The sequence below is a fragment of the Homo sapiens genome, chromosome 9 (assembly GCF_000001405.40).
Source record: "Homo sapiens chromosome 9, GRCh38.p14 Primary Assembly".
Lineage (NCBI taxonomy): Eukaryota > Metazoa > Chordata > Mammalia > Primates > Hominidae > Homo > Homo sapiens.
Genome location: NC_000009.12, coordinates 27606441 through 27618050, shown reverse-complemented (window position 1 = coordinate 27618050; position 11610 = coordinate 27606441). Strand labels below are relative to the sequence as shown.

Sequence of the window (11610 nt, the reverse complement as noted above, 5' to 3'; positions counted from 1 at the left end):
TTCTACGTGACTGTAGGTTGCAAGTACTGTGGTTGCATCTCCAAATATTAACCAATCCCAGTGACAATTCAATGGGGTCTCCTGAACCATGATCCTCATGTCTCCAGTGAAGGAAATGGGCAAAGGGGATTCAAAAATCCCTTTTGGAGGAATAGGAAACTTCTGCTTTCCTTCATTTCATAACATTTGCGATGGAACAAAGGCTTTTTTAGAATGGAGCAACCAGATCCTTTTTTGGGGGAATCAGCTTAAATGTCCCTTCTTCTCATACTACTTTTATCTATGTGATCCTATTCTTTTCTGTTGTGGATTGAATCATGTCCCTCAAAAAGATTGAATTTAGAGTGTGCTCTAAATTCAATGTGGAGAAATTTGGACACAGAGGCAGACACACAGGGAGAACCCCGTGTGACAATGGAGGAAGAGGATGCATTTATGCTGCCACAAGCCAAGGAACACCAAAGATTGTCAGCAGCCACCAGAAGCTAGGATAAAGGCATGGCACATCACTCCCTCTGAGCCCCCAAAAGGAGCCAAGACTGCTAATACTCTGATCTCGGACTTCTGGCCTGAAACAGTGAGAGAATAAGGTTCTGTTGTTTCAAGCTACCCAGCTTGCGGTATTTTGTCACAGAAGCACAAGGAATCAAGTACATTTTCTTTCTCAGCACTTGTGATAATTTGATTTTTTCTTTACTCAGTGGTTGTTTCACACCTATGTCCCCATCAGACTGTAAGCTTAAAGAGACCTGGATCTGGTCTGTCTTCACCACTGTTGATTCATTACCAGCACAGTGCCTGGCCCATGGTCACTGAATAAACGTTTGTTGAGAGAATGAATGTGCTTAACCAGAAGTACTATTGACCTATTAGGCCAAGTTCAAGGTGCCTAACAGCTCAGCTGTGAAGGATACCTCTCCTTTCAGTCCTCTGTTACATATGTCCCTGATAGATGTGTTATTTGTATCTCCTCCTGGCCCTCAAGTTTGTTTGAGGGCAGGACCCTTTTTTGTATATCTGTAGAGCTTCGTAGTACCTAAATACTACTTTGCATATATAATAAAGTTTCGATAAATATTCATTAAATAAAGAAATAAATGAAATGACTAAGTTTTCTAAGATGTTACAACTAGATTGAAGATATTTAGCTCATTATTTAACAAGAAAACTATGGTTAATTATGGTGTCCTGTGTGAAAATGGTTATAGTTTGTTTTTTAATTAATATAAGCATGTATGTGCATTATCAGTATACACAATTTGTGGTATGAGTGTTTTGTGTCCCTGCACACAGACCACGGAAATCCTGAGAAACAAACTGCCACCCCAGAGCAGGTGCCTAACACAGAGACTTTTAATCCTTAAAGTTTTTCTATAACTAAGCAATGTTTTTTCAAATGCAATAACACTGATATGCAGACATATTGATTGTCCACTCACAAAGCCATTCCTCAATATCATTACAACATGCCTCTTTGAATGTCATTAAAAATAGATGTCTCATTTTTCTAGGACAAGTTGGCTGAAGTTCTGCTTGAAAACTGGTAATAGAAAATACAATTTCTCAACCCGCTTTGGCCTTTTAATTCTGTTCTACAACCTTGCCAGTTCACTTTCAAAGTCAAGGGATGCATCTTGCAAAACCATGACATCTTTTGAGTAACTCCTTCTGTTCTTAACACATATTCCCAGGAGCTTAATAAATATTGTTTTTGCAACTTGTTTAGTGGCAAAATAATGAGTCCTTGGTGTATGCTTATCCTCTGCTTTGCTATTAGAGAAGATATATTCAGACTGTTTTAAACAAATTAATTCAAGGGCAGGGAACAGTCCTAAAACCTGTTAAAATTCAAATACTTGGTCACTGTATGTGCAGCATGTGTGTTCTAGAAAGTCCTATTATTTTAAAATATAAATTGAATCTTGTTGAGAAATTAATGTCATATGAATATATTAATAACTGAAATGCTGCCAAGTTTACAAAAAGCCCTCAATGAAACTGTGACCTTGTATAGACAAGGGCCTGTGGAGGGACATTTTTAAACCATCTCTTTTTTTATTTCCTCATGAGATCTACAATGTAAGTGCATTAAAGTTGATGAATGAATTGCAGTGCAACTTTTCCTGCCTCTTTTGCCTTTCATTTGTCTATATTTCAAGCTTCACTGAAGTGATAGATTTTGGGCTTTGCCACATTGTCCTCTGATTGCTTCCCTCTGCTCCTCCTTTTCCTAGTGAATCTTTGTTTTACTGGTGGAAAAATCTACATCTTTGTATCTTGGCATTTTACTTTCACATTATCTCATAGATTTTATTTCAAGTTGCTATAAAGTTATCAACTTTTATTTTTAACTAATATTATTTTTAACAATTAGAAAATTGTTGACCAGGTAATTCCAGCACTTTGGGAAGCTGAAGCGGGAGGATCACGTGAGCCCAGGAGCTCGAGACCAGCCTGGGCAATGCAAGGAGACTGTCTCTACAAAATATAAAAATACATTAGCCAGGTTTGGCGGTGCATGCCTGGGGTCCAGCTATTCAGGAAGCTGAGGTGGGAGGATCACTTGAGCTGGAGAGGTTGAGGCTGCAGTGAGCAGTGATCGCACCACTGCACTCCAGTCTGGGTGACAGAGGGAGACCCTATCTCGAAAAAAAGGAAAAGAAGAGGATTTTGCTGGCAAGATGGCTGAATAGGAATAGCTCCGTTCTGCAGCTCCCAGTGAGATCAATGCAGAAGGCAGGTGATTTCTGCATTTCCAACAGAGGTACCTGGTTCATCTCACTGGGACTGGTTGGACGGTGGGTGCAGCCCATGGAGGGTGAGCAGAAGTAGGGTGGGGCGTTGCCTCACTCAGGAAGTGCAAGGGGTCCCTCTTCTAGCCAAGTGAAGCCGTCAGGGACTGTGCCATAAGAACAGTGCACTCTGGTCCAGGCTTTTCCCACAGTCTTTGCAACCCACAGACCAGGAGATAACAAGCGGTGCCTATGCCACCAGGGCCCGGGGTTTCAAGCACAAAACTGGGTGGCCATTTGGGCAGACATCAAGCTAGCTGCAGGAGTTTTTATTTTCATACCCCAGTGGTGCCTGGAACGCCAGTGAGACAGAACCGTTCACTCCCCTGGATAAGGGGCAGAATCCAGGGAGCCAAGTGGTCTGGCTTGGCGGGTCCCACACCCACGGCGCCCAGCAAGCTAAGATCCACTGGCTTGAAACTCTCGCTTCCAGCACAGCAGTCTGAGGTCCACCTGAGACGCCCGGGCTTGGTGTGGGGAGGGGCATCCACCATTGCTGAGGCTTGAGTAGGCGGTTTTACCCTCACGGTGTAAACAAAGCTGCCTGGAAGGTCCAGCTGGGCACAGCCCACCACAGCTCACCAAGGCCGCTGTGGCCAGAGTGCCCCTCTGGATTCCTCCTCTCTGGGCAAGGCATCTCTGAAAAAAAGGCAGCAGCGCCAGTCAGAGACTTATAGATAAAACCCCCATCACCCTGGGACAGAGCACCTCAGGGAAGGAGTGGCTGTGGGTGCAGTTTCAGCAGATTTAAACGTTCCTGCCTGACAGCTCTGAGAGAGCAACAGATCTCCCAGCACAGCGTTCAAGCTCTGTTAAAGATCAGACTGCCTCCTCAAGTGGGTCCCTGACTCCCATGTCTCCTGATTGAGAGACACCTCCCAGTAGGGGCTGACAAACACCTCATAAAGGAGAGCTCCAGCTGGCATCTGGCAGGTGCCCCTCTGGGACGAAGCTTCCAGAGGAAGGAACAGGCAGCAATCTTTGCTGTTCTGCAGTCTCAGCTGATGATACCCAGTCAAACAGGTCCTGGAGTGGACCTCCAGCAAACTCCAGCAGACCTGCAGCAGAGGGGCCTGACCGTTAGAAGGAAAATTAACAAATAGAAAGGAATAGTATCAACATCAACAAAAAGGACGTCCACTCAGAGACCCCATCCAAAAGTCACCAACATCAAAGACCAAAGGTAGATAAATCCACAAAGATGGGGAGAAACCAGTGCAAAAAAGTCTGAAAATTCCAAAAACCAGAACGCCTCTTCTCCTCCAAAGAATCACCACTCCTCACTAGCAAGGTAACAAAACTGGACAGAGAATGAGTTTGACAAATTCACAGAATTAGTGTTCAGAAGGTGGGCAATAACAAACTCCTCCAAGCTAACGGAGCATGCAAGGAAGCTAAGAACCTTGAAAAAAGTTAGAGCAATTGCTAACTAGAATAACCAGTTTAGAGAAGAACATAAATGACCTGATGGAGCTGAAAAACACAGCACGAGAACTTTGTGAAGCATACACAAGTATCAATAGCCAAATCGATCACGTGGAAGAAAGGATATCAGAGATTAAAGATCAACTTAATGAAATAAATTGAGAAGACAAGATTAGAGAAAAAAGAATGAAAAGGAATGAACAAAGCCTCCAAGCAATATAGGACTATGTGAAAAGACCAAATCTATGTTTGACTGGTGTACCAGAAAGTGACGGGGAGCATGGAACCAAGCTGGAAAACACTCTTCAGGATATTATCCAGGAGAACGTCCCCAACCTAGCAAAACAGGCCAACATTTAAATTCAAGAAATACAGACAACACCACAAAGATACTCCTCGAGAAGACCAACCCCAAGACACATAATCGTCAGATTCACCAAGGTTGAAATGAAGAAAAAAATGTTAAGGGCAGCCAGAGAGAAAGGTCAGGTTACCCACAAAGGAAGCCCATCAGACTAACAGCAGATCTCTCTGCAGAAACCCTACAAGCCAGAAGAGAGTGGGGGCCAATATTCAACATTTTTAAAGAAAAGAATTTTCAACCCAGAATTTCATGTCCAGCCAAACTAAGCTTCATAAGTGAAGGAGAAATAAAATCCTTTACAGACAACCAAATGCTGAGAGATTTTGTCAACAGCAAGCGTGCCTTACAAGAGCTCCTGAAGGAAGCACTAAACGTGGAAAGGAACAATCGGTACCAGCCACTGCAAAAGCACACCAAATTTTAAAGTCCATTGACACTATGAAAAAACTGCATCAACTAACAGGCAAAATAACCAGCTAGCATCATAATGACAGGATCAAATTAACCTTAATTAAGTTAGCCTTAAATGTAAACGGGCTAAATGCCCCAGTTAAAAGACACAGACTGGCCACCTGTATAAAGAGTAAAGACCCATCAGTGTGCTATATTCAGGAGACCCATCTCACATGAAAAGACACACATAGGCTCAAAATAAAGGGATGGAGGAATATTTACTAAGCAAATGGGAAGCAAAGAAAACAAAAAGCAGGGGTTGCAATCCTAGTCTCTGATAAAACAGACTTTAAACCAACAAAGATCAAAATAGACAAACAAGGGCATTACATAATGGTAAAGGGATCAATGCAACAAGAACAGCTAACTATCCTAAATATATATGCACCCAATACAGGAGCACCCAGATTCATAAAGCAAGTTCTTAGAGACCTACAAAGAGACTTAGACTCCCACACAATAATAATGGGAGACTTTAACACTCCACTGTCAATATTAGACAGATCAATGAGATAGGAAATTAACAAGGATACTCAGGACTTGAACTCAGTTCTGGATCAAGTGGTCCTAATAGATACCTACAGAACTCTCCACCCCAAATCAACAGAATTTACATTCTTCTCAGCACCACATCGCACTTATTCTAAAATTCACCACATAGTTGGAAGTAAAACACTCCTCAGCAAATGCAAAAGAACGGAAATCATAACAGTCTCTTAGACCACAGTGCAGTCAAATTAGAACTCAGGATTAAGAAACTCACTCAAAACCGCACAACTACATGGAAACTGAACCTGTTCCTGAATGACTACTGGGTAAATAATGAAATGAAGGGCAAAATAAAGAAGTTCTTTGAAACCAATGACAACAAACACACAATGTACCAGAATCTCTGGGACACATTTAAAGCAGTGTTAAGAGGGAAATTTATAGCACTAGATGCCCAAAAAAGAAAGCAGAAAAGATCTAAAATCGACACCCTAGCATCACAATTAAAAGAACTAGAGAAGCAAGAGCAAACAAATTCAAAAGCTAGCAGAAGACAATAAATAAGATCAGAGCAGAACTGAAGAGGAGAGAGACATGAAAAACCCTTCAAAAAAATCAATGAATCCAGGAGCTGGTTTTTTGAAGAGATTGACAAAACAGATAGACCACTAGCCAGACAATAAAGAAGGAGAGAAGAATCAAATAGATGCAATAAAAAATGATAAAGGGGGTATCACCACTGATCCCACAGAAATACAAACTACCATCAGAGAGAATACTATAAACAACTACACAAATAAACTAGAAAATCTAGAAGAAATGGATAAATTCCTGGACACATACACCCTCCCAAGTCTAAACCAGGAAGAAGTTGAATCCCTGAATAGACCAATAACAAGTTCTGAAATTCAGGTAGTAATTAATAGCCTACCAACCAAAAAAAGTCCAGGACCAGACAGATTCACAGCCGAATTCTATCAGAGGTACAAACAGGAGCTGGTACCATTCCTTCTGAAACTATTCCAATAGAAAAAGAGGGAATCCTCCCTAACTGATTGTATGAAGCCAGCATCATCGTGATACCAAAACCTGGCAGAGACACAACAAAAAAAAGAAATTTTCAGGCCAATATCCCTGATGAACATTGATGCGAAAATCCTCAATAAAATACTGGCAAGCGGAATCCAGCAGCGCATCAAAAAGCTTATCCGCCAGGATCAAGTCGGCTTCATCTCTGGGATGCAAGGCTGGTTCAACATACGCAAATCAATAAACCATCATTCTCAGCAAATTATCACAAGAACAGAAAACCAAACACCGCATGTTCTCACTCATAAGAGGGAGTTGAACAATGAGAACACGTGGACCCAAGGAGGGGAACATCACATACTGCGGCCTGTCGAGGGATTTGGGGTTGAGGGAGTGATAGCATTAGGAGAAATACCTAATGTAGGTAACAGGTTGATGGGTGCAGCAAACCACAATGCGATGTGTATACCTACCTAACAAACCTGCACGTTCTGCACATGCACTCCAGAACTTAAAGTATAATAATAAAAGGCGCTGCCTCAGGATGTAAAGTGTAACAAGGGGGCTGGGGTGGGCAGCGTGGGCCTCTGAGACCTTTGGTTGCCCGTGTCCGCAGCTCGCCCCGCAGCCGGCTCCACAATGGTCCGCTCCGTTTGCCACGTGCGGATTCGGGTTCCAGACTGAAGGCTGCGTGTTCTCTGCCGCCCACAGCCCAAGTTTATTGTGGCAACCGCCGGAGCAGCCTTCCCCGCTGTGGAGGAGCCTGGGGCTACCCCTCAGCGGTATTTGGGGCTGGTCCTGGGGGAGCTAAGCAGGGTTGTGGCAGCACTGCCTGAAAGTGTGAGACCAGACTCTAATCCTTATGGTTTTCCATGGGAGTTGGTGATATGTGCAGCTGTACATGGATTTTTTGCTGTTCTCTTTTTTTGTGTGGAGAAGTTTTAGATCGGTTGGGAGTCGGCTTTATGTGGGAAGAGAAAAAAAGCTTGCTGTAATGCTTTCTGGACTAATTGAAGAAAAGCATAAACTACTTGAAAAATTTAGCCATGTTCAAAAAGAGTATGAAGGCTATGAAGTAGAGTCATCTTTAAAGAATGCCAGCTTTGAGAAGGAGGCAACCTGTGAAAAGCTAAACAGGTCCAATTCTGAACTTGAGGATGAAATACTCTGTCTAGAAAAAGAGTTAAAATAAGAGAAATCTAAACATTCTGAACAAGGTGAATTGATGGTGGATATTTGCAAAAGGATACAGTCTCTAGAAGATGAGTCAAAATCCCTCAAATGACAAGTAGCTGAAGCCAAAATGAACTTGACGATATTTCAAATGAATGAAGAACGACTGAAGATAGCAATAAAAGATGCTTTGAATGAAAATTCTCAACTCCAGGAAAACGAGAGACAGCTTTTGCAAGAAGCTGAGGTATGGAAAGAACAAGTGAGTGAACTTAATAAACAGAAAATAACATTTGAAGACTCCAAAGTACATGCAGAACAAGTTCTAAATGATAAAGAAAATCACATCAAGACTCTGAACGCTTGCTAAAAATGAAAGATCAGGCTGCTATGCTTGGAGAAGACATAACGGATGATGGTAACTTGGAATTAGAAATGAACAGTGAATCGGAAAATGGTGCTTACTTAGATAATCCTCCGAAAGGAGCTCTGAAGAAACTGATTTATGCTGCTAAGTTAAATGCTTCTTTAAAAACCTTACAAGGAGAAAGAAACCAAATTTATAGTCAGTTATCTGAAGTTGATAAAGGAAGAGCTTACAGAGCATATTAAAAATCTTCAGACTGAACAAGCATCTTTGCAGTCAGAAAACACACATTTTGAAAGTGAGAATCAGAAGCTTCAACAAAAACTTAAAGTAATGATTGAATTTTATCAAGAAAATGAAATGAAACTCCAGAGGAAATTAACAGTAGATGAAATTACCGGTTAGAAAAGGAAGAAAAACTTTCTAAAGTACACGAAAAGATCAGCCGTGCCACTGAAGAGTTGGAGACCTATAGAAAGTGAGCCAAAGATCTTGAAGAAGAGTTGGCGAGAACTATTCATTCTTATCAAGGATGGATTATTTCCCACGAGAAAAAAGCACATAATAATTGGTTGGCAGCTTGGACTGCTGAAAGAAACCTCAATGGTTTAAGGAAAGAAAGTGCTCACAACAGACAAAAATTAACTGAAGCAGAGTTTAAATTTGAACTTTTAGAAAAAGATCCTTATGCACTTCATGTTCCAAATACAGCATTTGGCAGAGAGCATTCCCCATATGGTCCCTCACCACTGGGTCGGCCTTCATCCTAAACAAGAGCTTTTCTCTGAGGGCCCACTGAGACTCTCATCTTTGCTAACAGGAGGAGGAGGAAGAGGCTCAAGAGGTCCAGGGAATCCTCTGGACCATCAGATTACCAATGAAAGAGGAGAATCAAGATGTGACAGGTTAACCAATCCTCACAGGGCTTCTCTGACACTGGGTCCCTGTCACCTCCATGGGAACAGGACCGTAGGATGATGTTTCTTCCACCAGGACAATCATATCCTGATTCAGCTCTTCCTCCACAAAGGCAAGACAGATTTTATTCTAATTCTGGCACACTGTCTGGACCAGCAGAACTCAGAAGGTTTAATATGACTTCTTTGGATAAAGTGGATGGGTCAATGCTTTCAGAAATGGAATCCAGCAGAAATGATACCAAAGATGACCTTGGTAATTTAAATGTGCCTGATTCATCTCTCCCTGCTGAAAATGAAGCAACTGGCCCTTACTTTTCTCCTCCACCTCTTGCTCCAATCAGAGGTCCATTGTTTCCGGGGGATACAAGGAGCCTGTTCATGAGAAGAGGACCTCCTTTCCCCCCACCTCCTCCAGGAACCATGTTTGGAGCTTCTCAAGATTATTTTCCACCAAGGGATTTCCCAGATCCACCACATGCTCCATTTGCAATGAGAAATGTCTATCCAGCGAGGCGTTTCCTCCTTACCTTCCCCCAAAACCTGGATTTTTCCCCATAAACCCCACATTCTGAAGGTAGAAGTGAGTTCCCTGCAGGGCTGATTCTGCCTTCAAATGAGCCTGCTACTGAACATCCAGAACCACAGCAAGAAACCTGACAATATTTTTGCTCTCTTCAAAAGTAATTTTGACTGATCTCATTTTCAGTTTAAGTAACTGCTGTTACTTAAGTGATTACACTTTTGCTCCCACTGAAGCTTAATGGAATTATAATTCTCAGGATAGTGTTTTCTAAATAAAGATGATTTAAATATGAATCTTATGAGTAAATTATTTCCATTTTATGTTATTCTGGATAGTATAACTATTTTAATTTGATAAACTAATCCACGATTATATAAACAATAATGGGAGTTTTATATATGTAATCTTGCAGGTAGGGAGGCTTTAAATTATAAAGGTTGTGTCTTTATGCCAAGAACTGTATTAACTGTGGTTGTAGACAAATGTGAAAGTAATTTTATGCTTCATTAAATAAATTTTAGTTGATTTTTTTTTAAAAAAAGAAAATGGTTAATCTATCATTTAGGTGCATCATCAGTTGTTTAACCATTCTCTCTTACTGAACATTGGGTTGTTTAAAAAGTGTTGTTATTTTTGAATCATGGTTCAGTGAACAATTTTGGACACATAACTTTTTATCTGATGAGTTATTTCCTAAGGATCCAGCTCAGAAACTCAGCACATAAACCTAATAAGAAAAAAACAATTTGAAGTGGCTAACCTCTTATCCCAATAAAAATGTTGTATTTATGTTTGGATTTAGATGCCTTTCAGTGGTCATACCTTCACCTAACTTTTATGGATTCTACTTTTAACATGTAGAGTGACTGTTTAAATCACCTAAACTCACTGAGTTTTAAGTTCCTTTTTATTCAACAAGACTGGATTGTATGTTCCAGCTCCTCAAACTTAGTTACCAACCACCATCCTAGAGAAGTGAATTCACATGAGGCCTGTCCAGAAGAACAATCTCCCTTTCAGTGTCCTCATGCATGCAGTGACCAGAGACCAACCTTGATAAATTATGGAAAAAGTACAGCACATTCTGGAAGAGCCATGAAAGATCCAGATCATCTGGTGCTGGATAAGAATATTAATGGACAGGCTGGGCGCGGTGGCTCACGCCTGTAATCCTAGCACTTTGGGAGGCCGAGGCGGGCGGAACATGAGGTCAGGAGATCGAGACCATCCTGGCTAACACGGTGAAACCCCGTCTCTACTGAAAATACAAAAAATTAGCCGGGCATGGTGGCGGGCGCCTGTAGTCCCAGCTACACGAGAGGCTGAGGCAGGAGAATGGCGTGAACCCGGGAGGCAGAGCTTGTAGTGAGCCCAGATGGCGCCATTGCACTTCAGCCTGGGCGACAGAGTGAGACTCCGTTTCAAAAAAAAAAAAAAAAGAATATTAATGGACAAAAAGATTAATGAAAGAACATATTGAAGCATCCAATTACCTGGTGTCTGCTCAAATGAGGAATCGGTGAGATAGGTCAGTTAGCAGTCAAGATTTATAAAAGAGACGATGGCCTTGGGAGGGGCTGCCCTACTCGACTTTTTAATGGCTAGAAGCTATTAAGGGCTAAGCCAGAACCCTTCAGTATGGTTCAGTGAGGATCCCAATTTGGGGTCCAAAAGTAAATGACAACTCCCAGGAACCATTAAGAATAAAAATCATGGAGCATTACTGAGAATTTATGTTATCTAAGTCTGAGGAAAATTAATGTTAAGGAAGCTTTCAAAAGTCTAATATTTACACCGAATTCCAGGGCACCATGCTCTAAGACAAAGCACTCTGGTCCTGCCCCTCTCCTTTCCTCATGTTTTTTGGTTCTTGGGATCCTTAAGGGTCAATGTTATTCTTAAAATACAGAGCATCCTGGAAACTAAAAAAGTGGAAGATATTCAAATTCTAATGAATGTACTGGCAGTATTGTAGATCATGGAGTATAACATAAAGACAAGAATCCCTAGCCTCTTCCACCATACTTTGTAATGGTAAGGAGAAAGGATAGAATTTTGAGAAGTCTGGGAAGACA

The 11610-nt window shown here is 41.5% G+C and overlaps 1 pseudogene, besides 2 other annotated features; it reads left to right on the top strand.

The window, feature by feature from the left end:
• Nucleotides 6679-7178: an enhancer, noted in NCBI's record as "H3K4me1 hESC enhancer chr9:27610871-27611370 (GRCh37/hg19 assembly coordinates)". NCBI's record gives its function as "activates a minimal SCP1, AML or CMV promoter by ChIP-STARR-seq in naive H9 embryonic stem cells {active_cell/tissue: H9 hESC(naive)}" and the evidence as "EXISTENCE:reporter gene assay evidence [ECO:0000049][PMID:30033119]".
• Nucleotides 7179-7680: an enhancer, noted in NCBI's record as "H3K4me1 hESC enhancer chr9:27610369-27610870 (GRCh37/hg19 assembly coordinates)". NCBI's record gives its function as "activates a minimal SCP1, AML or CMV promoter by ChIP-STARR-seq in naive H9 embryonic stem cells {active_cell/tissue: H9 hESC(naive)}" and the evidence as "EXISTENCE:reporter gene assay evidence [ECO:0000049][PMID:30033119]".
• Nucleotides 7257-10063, top strand: CTAGE12P (CTAGE family member 12, pseudogene; annotated as a pseudogene).